The sequence below is a fragment of the Homo sapiens genome, chromosome 15 (genome assembly GCF_000001405.40).
Source record: "Homo sapiens chromosome 15, GRCh38.p14 Primary Assembly".
Classification (NCBI taxonomy): domain Eukaryota; kingdom Metazoa; phylum Chordata; class Mammalia; order Primates; family Hominidae; genus Homo; species Homo sapiens.
The window spans coordinates 90,900,781-90,926,077 of record NC_000015.10 but is presented as its reverse complement, the minus strand read 5'-3'; the positions used below and the strand labels follow the sequence as shown (position 1 = coordinate 90,926,077).

Sequence of the window (25,297 nt, the reverse complement as noted above, 5' to 3'; positions counted from 1 at the left end):
GACCTCATGTTCCACCCGCCTCGGCCTCCCAAAGTGCTGGGATTACAGGCATGAGCCACCGCACCCGGCCTGGCCTTTTTTTTTAAATGTACCTTTCTTGGAACTTAATGAGCTCTTTGATTCTGAGATCTCACATCTTTCTTCAGTTCTGAAAAATTCACCGTCTTTGTTTTCTCATCCCTGTATTCTCACTAGTCTTTTTTTCTAAAACTGCTATGAAACATTATGCCAAAGCTTCTCAGTCTATCCTCCATCTGTCTTAGCTTCTTTTTTATATTTCTTTTATCACTGTGGTGCATTCTGGGTGATTCCTCAGTTGTTTTCCAGACCTGCTAAATTTTTATGTCATCTGCCTCCAGTCTAGGGCTTATACCATACATAGAGTATATTTCAATAATTGTATTTTTACATTTCCAGCATGTATAATTTGTAAAATCTTATTTGCTTCTTTTCAGTCAGTTTCTCATTGCAAGACTGAATATCTTTAGCTCTTTGGTGATTGCACATATATATTTTTTAAAGTATTTTTTTAGATTGCTTGCATGTCATCCTGTTTTTGTTTGCAACTTACATTTTTCCTGCCTGTGTACCTCTCAGAGTCTGGTTCTGGTCCCTTGACGTTCCTAGGTTACACTTGGTTACCTGTCCCACGTGGACTTTGAAGTCCCAGCACCTACCATCCTGAACTAGTCTCTACTTCTCTCAAGCTGTATAGCCTCAGCCTCTGCTAATGGCTGTATTATTCTCTCCATTCTTTGTCAAAGAAGATTTCCTTTATTTTGAGTTTGACAGTTTTTGCTTTCTTTTTTTTTTTTTTTTTTTTTTTTTTGAGATGGAGTCTTGCTCTGTTGCCCAGGCTGGAGTGCAATGGCAAGATCTCAGCTCACTGCAACCTCTGCCTCCTGGGTTCAAGTGATTCTCGTGCCTCAGCCTCCCAAGTAGCTGGGATTACAGGCGCCCACCACCACACCCGGCTAATTTTTGTATTTTTTAGTAGAGATGGGGTTTCGCCATGGTGGTCTGGCTGGTCTGGAACTCCTGACCTCAGGTGATCTGCCTGCCTCGGCCTCCCAAAGTGCTGGGCTGTGCCCGGCCTGTTTTTACATTTTTAGTATTTATTTAGCAATCTCTGGCATTAGGAGTTGAGAGGGCAGAATTATAGGTGTGCTTGCGCCTCTAGTTGGAATGCAAGTCTCTAGGTATGTTAGTCTGTGCTGTTATGACAAAAATACCTGAGACTGGGTAATTTATAAAGAACAGAAATTCGTTTTCTCACAGTTCTAGAAGCAGGAAGTCCAAGATGAAGGTGCTGGCAGGTTCGGTGTCTAGCGAGGGCTGCTTTTTGCTTCCAAGGTGGTCACTGCATCCTCACACAGTAAAAAAGGCAGGCTGTGTGAAGCCTCTTTCATTAGGGCCTTAATCCTATTCACGAGGGAGAAGCTCTCATGACCTAATCACCTTCTAAAGGCCCCACCTCTTAATATGCTGCATTGGAGGTTAAGTTTCAGTATGAATTTGAGAGGGACACAAATATTCAAACTTGCGGGAGGCATGCTGACTGGGAAACCCCAGTCCTTCCTACTCCACTGAGGGGCCTTCTCTAGGTCTCCACACTCAATGCTGTGTCTCAAATCTTCAACTCTGTCACATTCAGAATGACAGAGTCCGCATCTCCAACCCCACTTTGGTTTCCTGTGCCCAGACTACCTAACTACATGGATTTTTAGTTCAGGTTTATTCTCAACTAGGGAGGTCCAAAGTCAGGAGCCAGAATGTCAGGAGTCAGGAGCCAACTGCAGACCCAGCTGGTCCTGGGTACTGTTACCATCTGAATTGATTTCTCACTGACCCTAAGTAAAATTGAGGGTTGTTGCGAAGGATCTGGTCTCTGTCTTATCTCTTCTCACTATGAGAATGAGAATGAGAATGAGCCCTTGAAGTGTTTGTCCTTCACACACTTTTTTGTTAGGGAAGAACAAAGATTTTGTTCAGAGATCTCTATTGTGGATGGTAAGCCTCATTCCCACCATCCTAGACTGATTTTCCCCCTCCGTGAGTGCACAGATGCCCCAGTGACAGAGCAAGGTAAGCAAGTCAGGTTCAGGTCAAATTAAAGATGCTGCTCTCTCTGCACAAGTGGTCGAGGTTTTATGTTTTACCTACCCTGAGGCAAGCCATATGAGGACACTGTCTGGGCTGGCTCGCCCTGCATGGGAGGACCAGCTCTTAAGTGGTTCAACTGGAGCCTTTCTCTCTGTGGTTCCAACTGGCCATACAGCCCTTCCTTCTTCATGAAAGCTGGATGGTTCCAAGTAAATGTAGGAATAGAATCCGATCCGTCTCCAGTGGTTGAAATGGCTTCTGTCATGTCCTGGTTCATTTTGATGGTAACCCTCAGAACTGTGAGGCTGGCCGGGCGCAGTGGCTCACGCCTGTAATCCCAGCACTTTGGGAGGCCGAGACAGGCGGATCACTTGAGGTCAGGAGTTCAAGACCAGTCTGGCCAACATGGTGAAAACCTGTCTCTACTAAAAATACAAAAATTAGCCAGGCATGGTGGTGCACGCCTATAGTCCCAGCTACTTGGGAGGCTGAGGCATGAGAATTGCTTGAACCCAGGAGGCGGAGGTTGCAGTGAGCCGAGATTGTGCCACTGCACTCTATCCTGGGCAACAAGGCAAGACTCTGTCTCAAAAAAAAAAAAAACAAACAAACAAACCGTGAGGCCTCAGTACCACAGCTCTGTGGTAAAGGGTTGCTGCTTGCTTTAAAAGTTGGGCCATTTCCAAATTATGCATGCACAAGAATCACCTGGGAGCTTGTTAAAAATGCAAATTATTTGGCCTCTACTCCCAGAAACCAGTTCAAAGGTTGTACCCAGGAATCTGCCTTTATCCCCCTGTGCACTGAAGTCAGCTTTTGTTTCTTGCTCCTATCTCCTATGACACAGCAGTCTCAGGGCAGCTGTGGCTCTGCCCTACGCATCTGCACTGCAGCCTCCAGGCTGAAGAAGCCCTAGTCAGAACAGAAACCTGTACTTTCAATGGCAGTTCTGGTGATTCTGAATCACACCTTGAGCCATGCTGCCTTAAGTCATTTTATGTTTTTTTTTTTTGTTTTTTTGTTTTTGAGACAGAGTCTCGCTCTGTCACCCAGGCTGGAGTACAATGGCGCAATCTTGGCTCACAGCAACCTCTGCCTCCTAGGTTCAAGTGATTCTCCTGCCTCAGCCTACCGAGTAGCTGGGATTACAGGCACACACCACCACGCCCGGCTCATTTTTGTATTTTTTTGGTAGAGATGGGGTTTCGCCATGTTGTCCAGGCTGGTCTCCAACTCCTGAGCTCAGGTGGTCCACCCACCTTGGCCTCCCAAGGTGCTGGGATTACAGTCATGAGCCACCGTGCCCGGACTGCCTTAAGTCATTTTAAAGGCTTAAGTAAATAGAATTCAGCATTCGTTTCTGTCAGACAAATAATTTCATTGCACATCTAAGACTTCCAAAGATAATATCCTTTATTCTGCTCATTTTCTAGGCGTTCACAGATTCCCCTCCTATTGTTTGATTACAAATTCTACTAGCAAATGACACCTGCCACAGTGGAACTGCTTAGCATCCTTTACTAGTAGGATTATAGCTCACATTTGTGGAGCTCTCGTATATACCAGGCACCATGCTAAGCAGTTCACATTGATAATCCTATTTCTTCTGCTATGATATAAATGGGGTTCCACTGTGTGGCCTAATACGGGCAGCAACAACTCTGATGACCTGGAAGAACTCAGCCCTCTCACTCTTGTCTTTAGGTGGCAGCTTGGCAGGCCCCAGTGACTTTCTCTAAGGACCCTGAAGCAAGCTTTTCTCCTAAAGTAATTGTACTCGTTGATTTTTTTATGTGCTGCAAATATTTTCTTCCATATCTGTCATTTGTGTTTTAACCTTGATGTTTTCCATCACACAGAGACTTTCGATATTTTTTGGTTGCGAAATCTGCTTATCTTTTCCCTTATTATATCTTTTAAGTCTCATGTTAAAGTTTAGAAAAGACCGTCCCACACCAGAGGTATAAAAATTTTTGAGTAATTTTGTGGTATATCTTCCCTCTGGAACTAATTTGTATGGACACTGTGAGGTAGAGATCTAACTTAGTGGTTTTTTTTTTGGCTGTGTCACCCAGGCTGGAGTGCAGTGGCATGGTGGCATGATCTAAGCTCACTGCAACCTCCGCCTCCCAGGTTGATGTGATTCTCCTGCCTCAGCCTCCTAAGTAACTGGGATTACAGGCGCGCGCCACCATTCCTGGCTAGTTTTTGTATTTTTAGTAGACACAGGGTTTCGCCATCTTGGCCAGGCTGGTCTCGAACTCCTGACCTCAAGTGATCCACCCACCTTGGCCTCCCAAAGTGCCGGGATTACAGGCGTGAGCCATCGCACCCAGCTGAGATCTAGCTTTGATAGCTAGTTGTCTAAAAGTGCTGTTTATTAAATAATCCACCTTTTTCCCCACTTAAAACATCCCTCTTACCATATACTAAATTCCTGTAGCCCTGGGTCTGTTTCTGGACTCTCCCGTCTGTCTGACCCCCTCCAGGTCACACTGAGTGAGGTAATGGTGGCGTGAGAATCCTCTGGGAATCTGGCAGGATCACCCCCGAGCAGTCCACCCCCCAACTCATTATCATCGTTCAGAGTGGTCTTAGTGTTCTCACACATTCACTCTCCCAAATGCACTTTAGAACTGTCAATTCCAAAGTTTCAATCTCATTGGAATTACACTGAATTTATCAGCTGATTTGGGGAAAACCAGTATGTGGACAGGAACATGATGTGTATCATTGGGTTGACTTACAGAATACTCTTAACAGGTCTTCAGTTGATTCTTAGGTTTTACAGGTAGGCAGTTTTATTGTCTACAAATAATGACAATTATAATTCTTCCTTATGTTCCTCATCTGGCTTGTTGCAGGGGTTAGTAGTGCCGGGACACTGCTGAATAATAGCTTGCCCTTGGCTAGTTTCTGACTTTAATGGGAATGCCTGTGGCGTCTGACTCTTTAGAATGCCATCACTGTTGGTTTCTGAAACAGACCTTTATCTAGATTAGGGTGTTTCTTTCCAGACTTAATTTACTAAGAGTTTTAATAAGGGATGGATTTTAAATCTTACGAAATACCTTTTCAGCATCTATAGAGCTATCATAAATTCTTCCCTATTAATTGAAGCTGAAATGAAGGCTCCTGCACAGCCATACTGCCTCCTCATATACTCTACATGCCCCTAGTCCCCTGTGCCAGGAACTGAATACCTCTGCAGATAGACTAAAGGTGAGGCTTCAAGGTCTGCCTGCTAGGCGTGGTGCTGAACGCCTTCTCAAGCTGCCCAAGCACATGGAGTCTTGGAGGCTTTCCTTTCCAGAGAAAGAAAGTAGGACCAATCCCCACTCCCTGCCATAATAAGAAAGAGCCCTTGGGGACAGCAGCATACAGAGCACAGAAGCCAAAGAGAATTCAGGCAGGGTGAAGGACCCCACACCCCTGCCACCATCCCACAAATCAGTACATAGGCCAAGTGCCCAGTTTGCCAGGGGTCTTGCTACCTGAAGTGACCTATGATCTCTGGCCATGACAATCTCTAGCGAGTCCTTCCTGCCATTCTGCAGCCTGTTAGCCAATGCATGCAGGCCAGGCGGCACTTACTGCAAAGCCATCACAGAAAGCAGCGAGGCCTTCAGACTCCTAGGAGAAACAGTGATTCCTTCTACTGCTCCATCCCCACTGCTAACTCTGGGTCCCCACCCCTGTCCTCCCAGAGTCACTCTGATCCTGCTCATCACACCAGGACATGGAGTCTCTACATAACCACAGGATTCCCCTAGAGCCTGCTGTTGCCACAGTGACCCTGATGCTGGGCTGTTACCCACTTAGCCTCCCTTACCTCTTCTGTCTGCTTCCACCACTTCTATATCCCTGTTTGGAAAAAGGATGGGTGCCTGAGCCTGTGCCCAGTTGGGTGTCCACTCACAACCCAAAGCAGAGCCTGGCACTGCCCACTCTGACCAAGGGCCTTCTCTCCCTGATCTCACTGGCGTCTGCCCTATTTACCCATCACTGGGTTTGTGGGTTGCGCCGAAAACACAGCAGCAGCAATAAACAGAAAATGAGGGCAGAGCCCAGTGTGTCACAGTTCTGGGAGGCAGATCGGGATGGGATACCCGTGTGGCTTGTCCAATGATCTTCATGTTAAGAGGCAGTCTCTGTGAATGAACTTTCTCTTCAGGCCACAAGAAGCCCTAACCCAAGCGGAGGCGAAAGGTAGCAATCTCCATGGGCTCCAAATAGACGTCAGTGCTGTTGGACGGGGAGGCCAGAGGGTACAGTAACGTCAAGGAGGTTGGCTGAAGGAATACCACATCCAGGCCATGGAAAAGGCTGCCCAGGGCTACCTGTGGAGAGCAGAGAAGGGGCAGGGTTGTGCTAGGTGCCGAGACACTAAAGAATGTGGCTGTTCATCTACAATTTGGTACCTCTTTAAGAATCTCAGCCAGGGGCAGTGGCTCACACCTGTAATCCCAGCACTTTGGGAGGCCAAGGCGGGTGGATCACCTGAGGTCAGGAGTTCGAGACCAGCCTGGCCAACATGGCGAAACCCCGTCTCTACTAACAATATAAAAATTAGCTGGGCGTGGGGGCAGGCGCCTGTAATCCCAGCTACTCGGGAGGCTGAGGCAGGAGGATCACTTGAACCAGGAGGCGGGGGTTGCAGTGAGCTGCGATCACGCCACTGCACTCCAGTTCCGGCTGGCCCCTCTCAGCAACACCATGCCTTCTTACACATGAGTGTGCATCCAGTCTCACGGGCTTGCTGAGATTTGCTCAACCCTAAAGCCTGCCTACAGATCTCTGGGTAAGAACCGTTCCACTGAGCTGTGAGCTCTGTGAAAACAGTGACCATGTCTTGGTTCACTTCTGAAACACTGGAGCCCAGCAGAGGACCTGGCACCCGGGGACATTTATCAGTGCCGGCTGATATGAGCTTACAAAGTAACAACAGGATGGGTTCTGGTTTTCTATTTCTGGTGTTTTCCACTTTGCTTGATAGAGGTCCCTGCTCAGGGAACAAAAGTTCTCAAGCGATCTACCTTGTCTGGAACTCCCCCTGCCAGGCCTCCGGAGCTCTGAAAACATGTCTACAGCTTCCCCCCTTCTCTCCAGAAAGCCCTGGAGTGACACTTTCTTCTCCCAGCCTGTCACCGAATCTCAGCCCAGTCTTACCAAGCTCATGCCTGCCATTCCTAGGTGCTCTGTTTCCCCACCCTACTCACCTTGCCTTGGCTTGTGGTGCAGTTGAAGCCCAAGTTCTTGGCCTCCAGGCCGCAGTCAAAACCCTTGCGGTGTAAGATGAGTGCGGTCTCCGCCGAGGGTAGGGTGTCCTCCTGGATGACAGACAGTGCCCAGGGAAGTGGGCGCAGGGCTTTCAGAGATCGGAGATGCAGCAGCGCCTCTGCCCAGAGGCAGTGCTGGCACAGGGAGGCGTGTGGGTAAGGAAAGGCCAAAACCTGGTCCTGGAGGTTTGGAGCCGAATACCTGCTAAGGGGTCTGGACCTCATCCTGGAGGCTAAGGAAGGAGCTGAGCAGGGAGGGACACCATCAGAACTCTGCTCTCAGCATGTCACGCTGAGGGACACTCACCTCAGCCTGGAGCGTACGTAGGTTGAGCAGGTGGAAGTCACAGGGCAGTGAGGAAGCCAGAGGATGAAATGAGCGCAGACCAGGGCCTGGGAGCTGCATCCTGGCTACAGGCAGAGCGAGCGCCGGGGCGTTCAGGTACATGGAGGTCAGGTGGCTGAGGAGGGATGGGTAGCTGGTAGAGTGGCTATCTTGGACCTGCAAAATTGACCCGAGATATTGGTGAGGGACCAAAGCCAGGCTGAGGGGAGAGGACGAGGCAGGATAAAAGCACACCCAGGTCAGTTGTTTTGGAAAGACCTTTCCTGGTGTGCCTGGACTCAAGGGCACGCCTGGCTCCAGGCGAGGTTCCGCTAACCCTTCAAGTGTGGACATTTGCCGTCTCCCCTAACGCAGAGGGCTACTTCACTAAGCTGTTTCTTCTCTACTTTTTAGTTCCTTGCTCACATAACACTATCATGAGCAACCCACTCCCATCAGCCATGTCTCCCCTCACACATGGATCCACAGTGCAGGGAGGATGGCAGCCAGGCAGACGCAGGCCTCACCATGGAGCACGGACCTCCAATCCAGAGTGCTCTGGGTAATCTGCGGCTTCACGAGCGATGCCACATCCACAGTGCCAGCCTGGCTCTCAGGCCCAGCGCGGCCGGGGCTCTGCCAGCAGGGCTACTCCTTAGCAGCTCACCTGGACGTCAGACTCACAGGCCTGGGCTGAATATTCTGGACTTCTGTCCCTGGCATCCCCCTTCTTCCAAGCGCCCAGCATCTCTCACTTCCCTCTGCATTCCCAGGTAATGCTAAACCCTCTTCCGTCGCACCTGGGCAGTGTCCTCATAGCCACCGGCAACTTCTCCAGCCTCTGGCCTAGTTCAAGCAGCCAGCATGTCCTGCCTGAACAGCCTCCCGCTGTCACCCTCCTCCAGTCTCCCTTCCCACAGATCCAACCTGCTCCGTACTGTCAGCGTGACATGCTGAGACCAGAGTTCTGACGGTGTCCCTCCTTGCTCAGCTCTTTCCTTAGCCTGGACCTTTCCTAGCCAGGATAAAGTCCAGATCCCTTAGCAGGCACTCAAGGTGCTCTGCCGTCTGCCCTGATCTCCCCCTAGCACTCTAGCCCAGCACCAGCCAAGAGGGCATTCTGCAAGGATGGAAATATCCGACACCACATGGTCTAATACGGCAGCCACTTAGCCACTTGAGTACTTGAAGTGTGGTCAGTAGGAATAAGAAAGCAAATTTTTTACTTGATTTAGTTGTAATTTAAATAGCCATATAGGGCTACTGGCCACCGTACTGGATAGCATAGCTCCAGCATAACTAAGGAACTCACTGCTATTCCCCAGCCTGTTGTCTTTCCTGCCTCCTATCCTGTGCCCTGGTTCATATCTTCAAATCACACCCCATTCATCAAAGCCACACCTGGGTGACACCTCCTTGACCTCGATCTCCTTAGCCCACATTATTACCTTGCTCCTCAGGATCAGTGAGACAAAGCCCTTTCTACCTTGCATTTTTACACACATGGCTTCTCTGCCACCCCTACTCACGAGTAAACTCCTGGGAGAGTCAGCACTGTCTGCACTTATGTCCCTCTGGGTCCTCACAGTAAAGCAGGTGCTCAATATCTATCTGATGCACGAGTGACTGAGTGGCGGGCTCTGTCACCTGGGCTCTGGCGCAGCTACACCTTGCTCGTACTAGTTCCCCGCTCCCAGAGCCGACCCTTACCTCTCGGTTACCGCTCCTGCTGCTGTGAAAGATCAAGCCCCTAAACATGGCTGCCAGTTTGGAGAAAAAGTCAGGCTGGTGGGGCAAAGAAAGCCATGAGATGAGCGGGGTTGGAGCACAGGCTTAGAGAATGCTGGGACAGGGCAGAGGAGGGCAGCACAGAGGAAAGTGGGAGACGAACATGAGGGGCACAGGTGACAGAGCGCTGCTGGGAGAGGAAGGTGCCAGGCTGCGTGAGATGGGACACAAAACGCCAGACTGCCTCCCCCCACCCCAGGAATTCAGCCCTACTCTCTCTCTCTTGCCCACCTCCAACTACGCTCCTCGAGCCCTAGGCTGGACCCCCCGGCCACCCCCAGGGACTAGCCAGACCTGGCTCCCTGGGCGTCAGCCCCAGATGTTACCTCACTGCCCACGGTTCGCCGCTCTAGCAGGAGGCGGAAACGGTTGCAGGTTCTCTTGTTGTCCTTGAGCCCTTGGCCTAGGCCCCGGTTGTCATCCTGCATCAGCCGCCGGTCCAAGATCACCTCCAGCTGGCCTGGGGAAGCAAACAGTGAGTGCTGGCCCGCCCCCACCCCCAAGCAGGCACTGACCTTTCAAAGGAGAATCCCAAGCCACAGGCCCTGACGGAAAAGCGCAGCTCGAGAGACAGAAGCTGAGTCACTCAGGAGAGGTCACGGGTTCCCACGGCTGGGAGGGAACCTGATGAGGGGCTCGTCCTGGGCCGTTATTTTGCAGATGAGGAAGCATGAGGTCCAGAAAGGGGAAGGCTGGCCCTGGCAGTTTACCCCCCACGCTCTGGGACTCAGGAGTAGGGAACGGGCCTAGGGGCCCAGGCAGGAAACCGAATCAGGACGGGTTACATACAACAAAATAAACCAGAAATGAAAAACTTAGATCAACAGCCATCGGTAGTGTTGCTGCACACCTCCGTAATCTGGGGCAGGTTTGCTCAGGTTGGGCAGGTTGTGACTAAAACACAGGCTCTCCTGCCCTTGTTCTACACTGGACAGCCAGACAGCCCCAGCAGGTCAGACTCAAGCTCTGACTGTCTGTGTGTTAAAAGTAGGGCTCTGGAAAGGACAGCCAGATGGCAAGTCAGGCAGAGGCTCATATTAAGTGTCATCTGGGTTGCCCTGGAAAAAAGATATGGCAAGTGACCACCTTTGCTCTGTTTTCTAGAGTATGCTTGGAGCAGGGGCTCGGTGCATGGCTGATGTGTTGGGGACAGAGGCCCCAGTGTGTGCAGGTGTTGGAGGTGGGTGCAGCTGTTCTTGTACAAGATCTCGAGGGAAACCACACCAGCTGCCCCTACATTCCACCGGGACAGATGGCCTTATTCTCCCTTTCACCTCTCCAGTCCTTACTGACTTGTGTAGTTGCTCAGTCTTTTAACCCAGAACAACCACAGAAAGATGTCTGAAAACCCTAAAACGGATCCCTTGTATAGAAGACAGTCATTTTTTCAAATACCATATCCCAGAGGGGGAGAGGAGAAGATCCAGTGAGGGATATTGGGCTGCAGTTAGGAGTCATGACACAGATGGACCAGGGGCTGCTCCTGGCAGAGAAAGGCACACTCCTCCCAGCAGGGAGTCAGGCCCCCGAACTTGCCAGCCATTGGGCCACGCCTAGCCTTGACTGGGTGCTCTCGGCTCAGCCCTTCACAAGGGCTCTTCCCAGAGACAGATCTCAAGGGCCTCAGATGCCACCAAGTGCAAACTGTTCGTTTTGCCCTGAGGATATGGGGGCCACACAGAGCTGCCAGCGTGACCAGCTACCCGGGTCTGACTCCAGGCCAGTGCTCCCCATGCCCGTCTTGATTCTTAAGAACGTCAGTCTTGGCCGGGCGTGTTGGCTCACACCTATAATCCCAGCACTTTGGGAGACCGAGGCAGGCAGATCACAAGGTCAGGAGTTCCAGACCAGCCTGGCCAACATGGTGAAACCCCATCTCTACTAAAAATAGAAAAACTAGCTGCGCATGGTGGCGGGCGCCTGTAATCCCAGCTACTCAGGAGGCTGAAGCAAGAGAATCGCTTCAAATCGGAAGGCGGAGGTTGCAGTGAGCGGAGATTGCACCACTGCACTCCAGCCTGGGCGAAAGAGTGAAACTCCGTCTCAAAACAAAAAAACAAAAAAAAAGAACGTCAGTCTGTCTTTTAATGATCACTGGAAGGAAAACAGTATGTAATTTTCTCATTTCCTTAATATTTCATAACACTGAGTGCACTTTACAAGCTGTCCCTACTCTCAGCCCCGCCCAGAAGAGGGTTGCACACCTCAGCTGAGAACCACTGTTCAATACCCTGATGCTTCTTGCCTTTTTTTTCAGACTGGGTCTTGCTCTGTCACCAGGCTGTAGTGCAGTGGCACAGTCTTGGCTTACTGCAGCCTCCAGCTCCTGGGCTCAAGCAATCCTCCCATCTCAGTCTCCTGAGTAGCTGGGACTATAGGCACGTGCCACCAAATCCAGCTAATTTTTAAATCTTTTTGTAGAGCCTGGGTCTCGCTTTGTTGCCCAGGCTGGTCTCAAACTCCTGGCCTTCTGCCTTGGCCTCCCAACAGTGCTGGGATTACAGGAGTGAACCACTGTGCCTAGCTTTGCTTTTTGACATTTTTTTTCCTTTCTTTGGCCCCAAGAGTTGTAACCCTGACGGTTCTTCAGGGCATCCAGTAGGACACTCCACCCAGTTGCCTACACTGCTGCCTCCACCAGGGGATGGGGACAGCAGATGCCTGCCTCCTGTGCCAAGAGCTCTGAATGGCTTGCCCCCTCTCCAAGCATGGAGGTGATGCAGTCCAGAAAGAGGCAAGGGAGGCCAACAGAGCGGGGAGCCCTTGAGGGTGGGGACGGGCTTCTTTTTGTCTGATACCCTCTGCAGAACTCCTGGGCCCTACTCACCATCTTTGAGGCTAGAGACACCCAGGGCCTGGGCAGTGTGCAGCGTGAGGCGCTTCTGTGCGTCCTGGATATAGGCCATGACTGGCATGGGGTAGAAGTTGGCCTGGAGGGGGAGCTTCTTCAGATACCGTCGGGGCTGCACCTGTGGGGGCAAGGCCAGCAGATCAAGGGCACCCGGGCACCATGTGGGCCCAAGCGGTCCCCAGACTGAAGGAGTCCCCGATAACTCTTCGCCTCTCATTCATCTTTCTCCATCAGGGCAGATCATCCCCCAGGGCCTGTGACAGGGGCAAAAGCAGAGTCCAAGTTCTACTCTGTGGGGTCTCCGAGACCCAGGCCCAGGAGTCACCTGAAAGCCATTGAGGTCTGTGAAGAAGATACCCTGGCTGTCGATGTCTGTATGGATGTGCAGGGCCAGCTCCTTGTTGACGTAGTCCCGGATGTCCACCAGGGATGATATGTCCAGAGACAGCCCCTCCACCCCTGGGTACAGGAACAAAGTGGGGGCATGGACAGGTGTGAGGCTGAAGCACAGCTAAGAGGCTGGGCTGGGGGATCAGAGCCGAGCTGGGGAGAGGCTCTGTCCAACCTCCCAAGAAATCCCCAGGGCATTTCTGGATGACTTTTTCTCCAAGAGAATGGAGCATCCCTGTCTCAAATGATACGGAACAGAGGTATGAACAGAGAAGCAGCAGAAGGAAGAATACGCCACAGTTGTGGAGCCCACACCTCCTTCCAGACCCTTCCTCATATGCAGGGCTCACCTGGCAGATTGTAAAGCCGGACCGCCTGGTGAATGTGCTCATAGTACGCAACCACCTCTGAGAAGAAAGGGCCTTCAGTGACACGCAGCACGGGGGGCTCCTTGGGGACGTAGGGCTAGAGAAAGAGCAGATTGCTGTTGAAACTACAGCACAGAGGGCAAAGCAGGAAGGTGCCAGCCCAGGGCTGGGCAAGAGAGCACCTATTCCCAGACACCCCTGGGCTGAACAGGAAAGACAAGGCCCCTGGCAGGCAGCAATAAACCTGTGGGAAGGCCTGTGCCCCCTCCTGCCCTCCCTGCCAGGTTGTTCAAGGCATCTTTAGGATACCTTGGCCTCGCCATCGGGCAGGAAGAGGTAGGCTCCACTCTTGTCTTTGGACGTACGGGTGCCATAGACAAGGACCTGCATGTCCACCTGCTGCTCGTGCTCCTCATCCACCCTTCGGATGCTCTGCCAAAAAACACAGCCCTGACCCCTGGCCCCACACCAGCATGTCAGGCCTGCCTCCTGGGAGGACACGGAATAGCTTCCCCAAGGAGCCGTGCCCTGCTTCCCCATGCTGTCAGGCTGGAGCTGAGATGGCCCAGGCCCCGGTCCACTGTGGGTCAGGTGGCAGAATGCTCACAGGGCCGGGAGGCCGCTCTGCACAGTGCCACCACCACACACGCCCTACTCTGGCCCCTGGCCCTTCCCCACCACCCTGGCCTTTTACCTTGAGGAGCCCAGTAAGGCCTGAGAACCAGACCTGCATGTAGCGGTTGCTGAGGGCGAAGTCGCTGGTGCCAGAGTCAATGACACGGAGAGGAAACGCTTCGTGCCTGCTGACGGACAGCTGCCGGCCGTGCAGGTAGATGCGCACAGAGGAGGGCAGCGTGCGGTGCCCATCCAGGCCCAGCTGTAGCTGCAGCACGCCCAGGCCCAGGGCTGGCAGGCGGACAGGCACAGACACCTGTGGGCACAGGAGGGGTGAGGAAGTGGGGGCACGGCTTTCGCCACAGGGGTGCTGAGGCATCCGCTTACTAACAGAGGGCTTGAGCAAGCCCCTGCACCCGCTGGGCCTCTGCCCCTCCTCCAAAGTGGAGGTGATCTGATTTGCCCTTTCTTCCTCATCAGACTTTATGATTCTCAAGTGATATTTGAAAAAGTATGAAGCGGTAACAACACATTAAGCTTTCGATAAACATTGAATGACTGAATGATGGGGCATTATAACTGCTATTTTTACCATTACTATTACCATACCAACCTTCCCCTTCTTTTCAAGGACACGCTCAAATCCCAAGAGTGCCTGTCTTCTGGACAACCCCCTCCCCAGGACACTTGTCCTCAGCCTGGAGAGTAGCAGGGCCACAAGCAGGAGGGTGGGAGGCTGGCGTCGCCGGGCGGGGAGGGGCCCACGACGGGCAGAGGGCCAGGCCCACCTGACAAGCCCACACCTCACCTGGTAGACGTCAGGGACCGCCTCGGTGGCAGAGCTCCAGTGTGCGCTGATCTGCACGGCCAGGGGCTGACCCTCCTCCGAAAGGACACGCACGCGGGGAGAGTTGACCAGCAGGGACACCATGCTGAATCGCTCCTGTTCCAGTGGGTTGAATAGGACCACAAACCTGTGCGTAGAAGGTGGGCTGACCCAGGAGGCTGCTGCTTCCGACCAGGGCAAGCGCCCTGCACTGGTTCAGCACATGCTGGGGCAGAGGGGCCTGAGAGCCAGGGAATGGCTCTGCCTCTCTGCACATGGCGTAGTCCAGGTTACCTGGGCGAGGAATCCAGCTGGATCACCGTGCGCTCTGGGAGGGCGTCGTGACTTAAGCGAGTGTCATCCTGGAATTCAGTGAGCCGGAAGGGAAGAACCATCATGGGCTCAGCCTCCTCCCACCCCACCTGTCCCAGGTGTGGACCAGCGGCTGCACTGGGCACAGAACTCATCCGGATGGGGAAGGAAAAAGAGAAGCGGCACCCCCATCCAGCAGCTCTTGGGATGGGACCTGCACACACCAGAGGGTCCCCATGCAGACCCAGGAGGGGCTCACCACTTGGAGGAAGGGCGCCTCAGGGTCAAAGTGGTAGGTCTCCTTGTCCCCCAGCACCAGATAGTGGGCTGCATGAATGATGACCTGCTTCAGGTTGACAAGGGAGCGCAGAAGCCTGTGGGTGGCGCAGGAGAGGGAAGGAGAGAAGATGACCATAGGGAAGCTGTCTGCCTTGTCAGCAGGACAAGCCCTAGGCCGGCCTACCCCCTGACCACCCAATGTCCTTTCTTTGGGACAGTGAGCAGGGGAGCTTACAAGGGAAAAGAGAAGGCTCCCACCTGACCCCATAGTCCACCACCACAGCCTCCTTGGCCGTGCCAGTGATGGCATCGTGATGCTGGAAGAGCCCCAATGTGCGCCGAGCTTCCGTCAGGAGGGTGAAATCAGACAGTGGGTACCGGCCAGCCAGACCAGAGCGGCGAGCGTGAGCTGCAGCCAGGCTGTACAGAACCTCTGCCCCCCTGCCCAGAGAGAGAAGTTAGCTGCCAGCCTGCACCACTAGCCAGGGCCCACCCACACTCTGCCAGTGCAGCCTCCTTCCTTCCCACCCCTCCTCTACCTGCCCTGGCCTCTGGGCCTATCTATTCCCTTCTGAGCCAATCCAGCCCCTCCTTAAACCCCAAAGGCTGACTCTCCCCCTCCAGCCTGGAAGCGGGGACAGGGTCTCACCGCAGGTGGGCTTCCAGGACTCGGTCTAAGCTCTTGTAGAAGGGCCGGGAAGTGTAATAGCCTGTCCAGTAATGATCCTCCCGGTCCGCATAGGAGAAGAAATCCCCGCTCAGCACAGGAAACCCTGGAGGCCGGGCCCCTGGCTCCACCCCTGTCCTCTTGTACAGGGCATCAAAATAGTCAGAAAGAGTGCCAAACTGGGCCTGTGGGAACCCCAAAAACCCACTCCCATCAGTTCTAGAGCCTCCTGCAAATTGTGGCCACAGTGCTGCAGTTGGGGGTGAGGCAGGGGCTCTGGCCTCAGAAGCAGGAACTGTACATCCTGCCATTCTAGACTTAACAGAAGTAGGGGAGCCTGGGAATTAATTCTGACATAAAAGGGGCACCTTCGGCTGGGCGCGGTGGCTCACGCCTGTAATCCCAGCACTTTGGGAGGCCGAGGCGAGTGGATCACGAAGTCAGGAGATCGAGACCACCCTGGCTAACACAGTGAAACCCCATCTCTACTAAAACTACAAAAAATTAGCTGGGTGTGATGGCAGGCACCTGTAGTCCCAGCTACTTGGGCAGCTGAGGCAGGAGACTGGCGTGAACCCGGGAGGCGGAGCTGGCAGTGAGCCAAGATCGCGCCACTGAACTCCAGCCTGGGCAACAGAGTGAGACTCCATCTCAAAAAAAAAAAAAAAAGGGGGGCACCCTGCCCGAGTTGGGAACCCAGGGCACGGTCTCACGGGAAGGGATGGGCTGCAGCACTGTGAGGCCCCTCCCCAGTCAAGTGCCCCTCACACCTGCACATGGAGGTTAGGCCTGCTGTTGAAGAAGTCAAAGAGCCGTTGGTAGTTGAAGAACTGGGCATCCCACTCCTGGGGCTTGTCATATCGGAAGTCATCTCCAAGAGGCACCAGGAGGACGTTGCTTCGGAACAGCTGGGACTTCTTCCGGTATTGGTCCAGAAGCAGGGCTGCCCTGGGGCAGGAAAAAAAACATGGGCCCACCACGAAGTCTCATCAGTAAAAGAGCACCACGCACAGCCATCCCGCCAGCAAGCCCCTAGAAGACATCCCATCCACCAAGGAGTGGTTCAGCGCAAACAGACACCTCCTGCACATGAATCCCAGCCCCAGGGGAGTCCGGTGCTCTCTGGGCAGTTCTGACAGCTGACATGTTATTTTTTATGCTAGGCTGTTGAGATCTTTTGGGATCCTGGTTCTGACACTCCCGCCTCATTTTGCCCACCAGTTAGCGATGCAGCACCAAAGTGAAGGGTCTGGACCCCGGAGCCATATCACACCAGCTCCACAAGTACTAGCTCAGTGACTGTGGGCAAGTAACCTCTCTGAGCCTCCATTTCTAGCAAAATAAGGATAACATCCGTAGGTACCCATATAATGTTATGAGAATTAAAATGGATTGAATGGGCCGAGCGCAGTGGCTCACACCTGTAATCCCAGCACTTTGGGAGACCGGGGCAGGCAGATCACCTGAGGTCAGGAATTCAAGACCAGCCTGGCCAATATGGTGAAACCCTGTCTCTACTAAAAATACAAAAATTAGCCGGGTGTGGTGGTGCACATCTGTAATCCCAGCTACTCAGGAGGCTGAGGCAGGATAATCACTTGAACCCAGGAGGCGGAGGTTGCGGTGAGCCGAAATTGCACCACCGCACTCCAGCCTGGGTGACAGACTCCATCTCAAAAAAAAAAAAAAATTAAATTAAATAAATAAAATAAAATCAATGAATGAATATTTGTTAAACACTTAGAATAGTGCCTGGTACATAATGGGAACTATATATAAACATTTCTTTTCTTTTCATCCAAATTATTGGCAAAATCAGTAGAAAAACAGCCCTGTGGCACATCAGCAGAAGCCCTTTCCTACTTTAATTGGCATGTTATAAATATCACAGTCCAAAGAGTCAACTAATCTACTTAGCGGCGCTGGCCCAGCTTGTACTTTTCTACTCTGTTCTCATGAGAGGATTCCTCAAATACCACTTTCCCCTAACTTATCAGTCTAGTAAGCCTTTCAAAGGAGAAAATGGTTACCTTTCAGGGCCTGTTCTTGTAAACCTAGGCCAGCCTCACTGATCACAACTGCTGCTTTAAGAAAAGTCACGCCCTCATAGCCCTAGATTCTTGCCTGGAATCGCCATTTAGACTTCTGGAAACAAAAGACCACTTTATTTCCCTTTTGGTCACGTTTCAACTCTTGGACATCAGGGAGAAATCAGAGCATTGCAACATAAAAACCAATCCAACTTGTCGTATTCTTAAGGTTCTGACTAAATTGCTGTTTGGATCAACTCTTACCTAACACTTTCCCCCGGGGCCTGATTTCAGCAAGAGTGCTATCTTTAGGGGTCCCTAAATTCTCTCAAAAGGGACAGGTCTGTTTTCTCAGAGGCTGGAGGCTATCTCGTGGGACTGAATGTGGATCTGAACAGGATTCTCGTGGTTGACTTAAAGCCAAGTCAGAACACTGGCACTAAGTGAAGGCACATGAGCCTGAAGTTTGTAACATACATCTAACCTGGGAATCCTTCACCTCTAAGTTGTCAGCTGGCCCTGGCAGTTTGTTAGGGCATCAAGAAGTACTCATGTGAGAACCTAAAAGCATTCTGTGAAAGGTGGTTGCAAGAGCCATTCCAGTTTTTCAGGAGACTTAGTAAGGAGCTGCTGCTGCAGAGGCTAGGAGCCTCAACTCACCACCTGAGCCCACCCTCCACGTGGCACGGCCCAGACCAGAGCCAGGCCTCCCGATTCCTCTGTGAAGTGAAAGGGCTGGAAGCAGATACCTCTCTGCCACGTTGGCCTCTGTGATGGCCCGGGGTGGCACCTTCCAAGGGCAGTTGATGCGCCCACCAGGCAGGCGTTTGAAATCAAATTGGCAGCAGATCTTGGGATCTGGGCCACAGGTATGGGGGACGTCATAGCTGTAGAAGGGCATCATGTGACAGAAGATGTCTGTGCTGGAGTCCGAGTCTGCAGGAGACACACCACGTGGTCACCACCAGCAGGCAGCCTCTGGACGCCAGGGGGGCAAGGATCTGTTCAGGCTAAAGGCAGCCCTGATAGACCGCGAGGCTGTAACTGGACCTAGGGCTGGAGAGAGTGTGTAGGCCAGGGAGAAAGACATGAGGGGCTCCCTCAGGGGACGGGCACACAGGGCACGCTGAAGCCCTTGGGACAGCAGGCCCTGTAGAGGCCAGAGGTCAATATGGCCCTCCCCTAACCAGAGGGTGCGACCATTTCTGGCAGTCCACACCAGTGCCTGCAGGTCTGCTCTGAAGAACAGTGGGGGTCTTAGTTCTGATATCCCTGCTGTTCCCCAGTGAAGACTATGCTGCAGTAACCCCCTCTACCCTACCCGGCCTTACCCCATGTCTGCCTCCACATGAACTCTAGGCTGTGGGTGGCAGCAAAGTGCTTCTTGATGGCATAGTGCACTCTCTGAATCAGCATGCTGGTGAGGTTGGCACGGCGCAGCAGGTAAGGCATGGTGGAGCTGTATCCAAAGGGGTCCACTGCCCAGCCAGAGCGGGGGGTTGCACCTGGGCAGGGCATGGAAGCCAGAGAGGCCCTGAACACACCTCAGGGGCTGGCCCCCCGGCCTTCCAGGTGCTGGGACCCCAGCTCTTGTCCTGGTAGTGAGTGGAGAGATGATATCACACCAGGCCCACATGGTGGGATCTGCCTAGAAAGGAACCACCCCCTGCCGATCCCTGTGCCTTACAGCCCCTGCCTGTGCCTTACAGCCCAGGGGGCAGACCCCCATGCCTGGGCCTGGACTTACCAAGATTTCTCTCCAGCCACTGGTGTCCTTCGATGAGCTGGTCAATCAATGCAAAGTAGTGGGAATTGGCCTCATCTGGCATCACCCAGCCTCCTGTCGCAATCTCCAGCTGCCCGTTTCCCACCAGCCTATAGTTAAGGACTCACACTCAGGACGGAGCAGGACACTCTGCCCAGTCCTGCCAACCAGCAAATGTCAGGGCCTGTGTGCACTGGCCTCACTGGACCAGTTCTCCCAATCCCAGGACCAAGAGAACACACACTTGCCCTCCTTTCCTTACAGCCAACCTCCAGGCTATCCTGGCCCCGCTTATCTCGGAACCTATCTGTTTTTGCCTTCCCTCCCTCCACCATCACTCATCTCTTCCACAGCTCTCTGGGCCTCTCCCTGCCACCTTGGCACCCATAGCTTAAGGTAAGACCCGTCCACCCAGCCTGGGGCTCAGACAATGCCCTCCCATGCCTCCCCGCCTGGTACTGGCCTTCGGACTGCCGCTCTCTTTTGGACATTGATGTTGTCCCACCACTTGGCGAAGAAGGAGACCTCTGCCCAGAGGAAGCGCCGCCGGGGGTCCTCCTGCAGCTTAGACACCATGCTATTGAGGATGTGTTGGGTCTGCTCTGTGTAGTACTTGTCAAAGGTCTTGATCCAGCCTAGGGAGCCAATGTAGGGTCCCCTGAGGATGCCACCATCTTCTTCGACGTCCCTCCCTTGTATTGGCCATCAGAAATCCCACTCCACACTCCAGCTCCCAGGAGTCTGCAGGGCCCTCACCTGGGTCATTGTGAGAGTGGGGCACCACAAACACCTGCAGGTCTTCAGCATCCCAGTCGTGCGGGTCGTAGGAGATGTCGAAGCCTTGCCTCCACACACCACCATCCACGTTGTCAAACGGCAGCTCCTCCGACACAGTGAGCATCTGCCAGGTGAACTGCAGCTCAGTACCCCAGTCGTGGCCACTGTACGTCCCTGCCAGCTCTGACTCTTACCTGCAGCTCTGGCTTCTGACCCCGGCCCCCCAAAGCAAACTGGCAGTCCTGCGGGGAGATGGAGAAGAAGCTGGGCCGGGGCTCCGGTGGCACCACCCAGGAGCCATTGACCGTGTAGTAGGGCAGCATGGCGGGCGGGCCCTCTGCGTTGGCTGTCAGCTCCAGCACGGAGTCCTTGATATGGCTGATAATCTCATGGTTCTCCTCCAAAAGCTGCTCCAGCTGCTCAATGCGGTTCTGCAGCACAGAAATTTGGCTCTGCCAAAAAACCAGAAAGCAATCACACACAGCTCCTTATGCCACAGGGAGGGTCTCTGCTTGGGGTCTACCAGCTGAGGCCTGAGTACAATTCTTCCCTCATCAGTCAAAGCCAGACCATGAGCCTAGAGGGATAGATGACACCGTTCAGATAAAGGGAGCTGTGCAGATCACCACTGAGGACTACACTCCACTTGGGTTGGGAGAACCATCACTCTCTAGCTCAGGGATGGCAAAGATTTCCTTTCACCTACCTATTCTCAACAATCGGTGTTGCCTGTGCTGAGGATTTCAGCGGGGCTTAATGGCAAAGAATGCTGCAATCAATTAGCAATGTCTGCCAAGAATTCAGGAGGGGCTGGGCGCGGTGGCCCACACCTGTAATCCCAGCACTTTGGGAGGCCAAGGTGGGTGGATCACCTGAGGTCAGGAGTTCAAGACCAGCCTGGCCAACATGGCGATACCTCGTCTCGTCTCTACTAAAAATACAAAAATTAGTCGGGCATGGTGGCAGGCTCCTGTAGTCCCAGCTACTTGGGAGGCTGAGGCAGGAGAATTGCTTGAACCTGGGAGGCGGAGGTTGCAGTGAGCCAAGATCGCGCCACTGCACTCAAGGCTGGGCGACAGAGCGAGACTCTGTCTCAAAAAAAAAAAAAAGAAAGAAAAGAATTCAGGAGAACAGAGTGACAATACTCATTGCCATTGACATTTTTTCTTCCTTCCTTCTTTTCGCCATCACTGTTTTTAGCTGAGGGTTTCTACAAAACCTGACTATTGGGAAGGAAGGCTCCTGTCCTGTACTGACATTACCCTCCAGCGGGGGGTGGGAGGGGAGGCGGCGGGGTGGGAGGTGCATACCCTGAGCCCAGGTGACTTGTATACAAAGAAATTAGCAACCAGGCACGACTCACCCGGGGGAAGTTCCCACCATTCTGGTGTCGGGTGGGATCGTGTTGCACTCGGTCCAGCATGAGGTAGAGCGAGAAGACTGCCACACAGAAGATGGCAGCCCCACACACTGTCACCTGCTTTTTCAGCTTCATACTGGCCTCCACACACACCTGGCAGGAAGGACACCATCTGTAGCTCCAACATGCAAAATGCCCGTGGCAGTCTTTCCACCAAATACCCCAGTGAGTTCCTGAGGGCTGTTCCAAAGGAACACCCATTTGCCTGGCTCCAAGTAGCACAAGCAGCACATCTGAGGCTGGCCCACCTGGTCCTGGTAGCAGCTCTGCCGCTAGGGTGGAGAGGACGCTCTCCTTTGGCTGGTGCTATGAAAAACGGGCCCAGGATAAGAGTCCCAGCTCCGACTGGAGCGCACCACACAAGCTCCTGATTACACAGCTTCCCTGCCTAGATAGGAGGTGCCTGTTCAGGCTCCTCGGCCATGTGCTTCTAGTTTCAGGTGAATAAGCTAGTCTCTATTTTGTTTGATTTAAAAGTTTAGCCAGAACCCAAAGAGACTGATAGGAAAGCCTTTCTCAGTGCCCTTTCGGGTCAAACTGGCACTCACCAGAAACAGTGCCTGGCACGATCCTTTCTCAGAAACACAGAATGAGTTTCTTTCTAATAAAGAAGAAAGATGCTTGTGTTTCTAGCATAAAGCAAGCCCTGTGTGTTCTCCCTGTTTCTCTACTGTTCACTGCAGTGGGAAACTTCCAGCCGCGGTTTGCAGAGCACTTAGGGGACCCCTAGGAAGCCTGCAGTGACGCCGAAGGCCCCCTGGGAAGGGAGAGACGGGGCCCAGTGCTCAGCTGCGAGGCAACTTCAGGGGACCCGTGCCCCCCGCCGCCACCGCCCTCGGGCTCCGCTTGCCTGCTCAGGAGGAAGGAGGACGCTAACTGCGGAGCCGAGCGTGGGCGGGACCGCGCTCCGGAGTCTGCTCCGCGGGCCCTGGGGCCGAGGAGCTTTGTCGCCTCTGCGTTGTGCCCTACTTAGCGCGATCTGATTCTGCTCGGGAGCTTCCGGGCAATATTTTCAGCCCTTAGAGACTGGGTCTAGGCCAATGTGGGTGGAGCTGGGGAGAGAGTTGGATCACAGAGGGCAGGCACCTGCCGCCAGGTCTCTGGCCGCCCGCCCGGCTCCCTCCCCACCCGCTCCGACTTCGTCGGCCCCGGGGACCGCAGAGACAGGCGCCAGGTACGGGCCTCAGGCAGCCTCCTGTCCCTTCCTGGCCCCTCTGACGCCGCAGTGGCGCTCGCACTCCCGCCGCCCGAGCCCGGCCTCTGTCGGGGCAGCCGGAGCCCTCCCGCGCGCGCACCCGGCCCGTTACCGTCAGCGCCCGGCCTCCGCGCCGCTCCGGGCCCAGTCGGCCGAGCTGCCGGCTCTCACACGCCCGGGGACGGCGGCCCGCGTGCAGGCAGCGACGCAGGCGAAGGCGGGCGCCCGCCCACCCGTAGCCCCCTGCTCCGCGCGCCGCTGCCGCGCTCCCGCTGGGCCCCGGGCCGCCGGCGCGCTCCGCTGCGCCGGCCCCGCGCGGGTCCGCCAGCCTCTGAAGCTGCCGGGCCCAGCAGCGTGCGGGGCGGGGACAGCCGCGCCGCCCGCCCCGGCCTGCGTGTGCCCGGCGGAGCTGACAGGAGCTCTGGCCGCCGCGGTCCCCGCCCGGCTCCTCCCGGGCCCGCTCCGCTGGGCTGCAGTGCGCAGCCGCACCAGCCCGGGCCGGGCCTGGCCAGCTGCGGAACCTCAGGAGGGACGCGCGACTGAATTTTTTCGGAATCCTACTTGAGTAAGCGCATGATCGGGCAGTGGTCGAAACGCCCGCCTCCGTCTCGGCAGACGCGTAGCGGGGTGCGTTCTCCGCGGCCTCACCCGGCTCCGGCCCAGGTAGCCTTAGGTCTCTGTCGTTGCGCCCCTCGGGCAAAGGGGTGCTGCCTCCTGTCGGTACAGCGCATTCCTCGAGTCCCTTTCCTTTCCGTGCCTGCTCTATGTTTCCTGCCAGCGAGTGAACAAGACACAGACTTTTCTTGGCTGTTTCCCTTTTACTGGGCATCTAGGTTGTTTACAGTTTTTCAGTGTAATCCATACTGCAATGAACATCTCCATGAATTCCACATTTTTGTTCTTTTTAAGTTATATATAACATTATCTGAATGTGACCCCCCAAATTCATGTTCAAATCCTAATCCCTCAAGGTGATGATGGTATTAGGAGATGGGCCTTTGGGGGTGAACAGAGTTTGAAGGGAGAGCTCTCATGAATGGGATTAGTGCCGGTATCAAATGACCCCGAGAGTCGGCCCCTTCAACCACGTGAGAACACAGCTAGAAGGCACTATCTGTGCACCACAGGCAGGCCCTCACCCGACACTGAATCCGCTTATGCCTTATCATGGACTTTCCAGCCTCCAGAACTGTGAGAAAATACATTTCTGTTGTTGATAAACTACCTACTTTATGGTATTTTGTCCTAACAGCCCGAACAGATTAAGACGTTATTTTATGATGAATTTGCAACAGTGAAGTTACCCGGGCAAAAGATAAGGACAGAGATGACTGATGACACTATCGCTCCCCCAAAAGACTGTACCAGTTTACACCATCAATAACAAACTGCTGGATATTGCTTAAACAATGTTTTAGCTGATTAATGAGATATATAATGCCATCTCATTTTTAAAAATTTTCCTTTAAGTTCTGGGATACATGTGCAGAACATGCAGATTTGTTACATAGGTATACATGTGCCATGGTGGTTTGCTGCACCCATCAACCCATCATCTAGGTTTTAAGCCCCACATACATTAGGTGCTCTCCCTCACCTTGCCCCCAACCCCCGACAGGCCCCGGTGTGTGATGTTCCCCTCTCTGTGTCCATGTGTTTTCATTGTTAACTCCCACTTATTAGTGAGAACATGCGGTGTTTGGTTTTCTGTTCCTGTGTTAGTTTGCTGAGAATGATCAATGCTATCTCTTATTTAACGACCATTTCTTTTTTTTGAGACAATATCTCACTGTTTCCCAGGCTGGAGTGCAGTGGCACCATCTCAGCTCACTGCATCTTTGACCTTCCAGACTCAAGCCATCCTCCCACTTCAGCCTCCTGAGTAGCTGAGCCTTACAGGTATGTGCCACTACACCCAGCTAATTTTTTTATTTTTTAATTTTTTTATTTTTATTTTTTGAGACGGAGTTTCGTTCTTGTTGCCCAGGCTGGAGTGCAATGGCGCGATCTTGGCTCACTGCAACCTCCGCCTCCCAGGTTCAAGCGATTCTCCTGCCTCAGCCTCCCAAATAGCTGGGACTACAGGCACGTGCCACCATACCTGGCTAATTTTGTGTTTTTAGTAGAGATGGGGTTTTACCATGTTGTCCAGGCTGGTCTCGAACTCCTGACCTCAGGTGATCCACCTGCCTCAGCCTCCCAAAGTGCTGGGATTACAGGCGTGAGTCACTGTGCCCGGCCCTAATTTTTTTATTTTTTGTGGTGGGTGGGAGGGTCTCACTGTGTTGCCCAGGCTGTTCTCCAACT

General features: G+C 53.4%; 1 protein-coding gene across 23 annotated transcripts, besides 4 other annotated features; it reads right to left on the bottom strand.

Moving 5' to 3' along the window:
• Nucleotides 3,493–23,696, bottom strand: MAN2A2 (mannosidase alpha class 2A member 2). Of its 23 annotated transcripts, XM_047432507.1 has the most exons (26): nt 23,552–23,696; nt 22,646–22,847; nt 22,344–22,552; nt 21,739–21,888; nt 20,570–20,827; nt 20,355–20,499; nt 20,062–20,233; nt 19,581–19,708; nt 19,165–19,338; nt 18,583–18,769; nt 16,574–16,751; nt 15,786–15,988; nt 15,395–15,577; nt 15,117–15,231; nt 14,840–14,907; nt 14,528–14,693; nt 13,799–14,035; nt 13,414–13,536; nt 13,087–13,201; nt 12,672–12,805; nt 12,323–12,464; nt 9,822–9,955; nt 9,418–9,492; nt 7,690–7,884; nt 7,323–7,433; nt 3,493–6,443 (listed from the first exon to the last, which is right to left on the bottom strand). In XM_047432507.1, exons 4-26 carry the CDS (start codon nt 21,868–21,870, stop codon nt 6,291–6,293), a joined length of 3,528 nt encoding a protein of 1,175 aa, XP_047288463.1. In that variant the 5' UTR covers nt 21,871–21,888; nt 22,344–22,552; nt 22,646–22,847; nt 23,552–23,696; the 3' UTR covers nt 3,493–6,290. The 23 variants fall into 23 exon arrangements, 20 of the variants coding, with proteins under 20 accessions (XP_047288463.1, XP_047288464.1, XP_047288466.1 ...); XM_047432508.1 differs by lacking the exon at nt 9,418–9,492; XM_047432510.1 differs by lacking the exon at nt 9,418–9,492 and having other exon boundaries at nt 22,344–22,396.
• Nucleotides 21,786–21,845: an enhancer, noted in NCBI's record as "active region_10101". NCBI's record gives its function as "activates an Ori minimal core promoter by ATAC-STARR-seq in GM12878 lymphoblastoid cells {active_cell/tissue: GM12878}" and the evidence as "EXISTENCE:reporter gene assay evidence [ECO:0000049][PMID:35858748]".
• Nucleotides 22,796–23,225: a silencer, noted in NCBI's record as "silent region_6832". NCBI's record gives its function as "represses an Ori minimal core promoter by ATAC-STARR-seq in GM12878 lymphoblastoid cells {active_cell/tissue: GM12878}" and the evidence as "EXISTENCE:reporter gene assay evidence [ECO:0000049][PMID:35858748]".
• Nucleotides 23,246–23,515: a silencer, noted in NCBI's record as "silent region_6831". NCBI's record gives its function as "represses an Ori minimal core promoter by ATAC-STARR-seq in GM12878 lymphoblastoid cells {active_cell/tissue: GM12878}" and the evidence as "EXISTENCE:reporter gene assay evidence [ECO:0000049][PMID:35858748]".
• Nucleotides 23,686–23,735: an enhancer, noted in NCBI's record as "active region_10100". NCBI's record gives its function as "activates an Ori minimal core promoter by ATAC-STARR-seq in GM12878 lymphoblastoid cells {active_cell/tissue: GM12878}" and the evidence as "EXISTENCE:reporter gene assay evidence [ECO:0000049][PMID:35858748]".

Bases quoted from the DNA above. Each gene is read 5' to 3' on its own strand.
- MAN2A2 (XM_047432507.1), bottom strand. From the start codon at position 21,870: ATGAAGCTGAAAAAGCAGGTGACAGTGTGTGGGGCTGCCATCTTCTGT. The intron at 20,828-21,738 runs GTGAGTCGTGCC...GTTTTTTGGCAG, and splicing joins ATGGTGGGAACTTCCCCCGG to AGCCAAATTTCTGTGCTGCA. The intron at 15,989-16,573 runs GTGTGAGGGGCA...GGGTTCCCACAG, and splicing joins GGCCTAACCTCCATGTGCAG to GCCCAGTTTGGCACTCTTTC.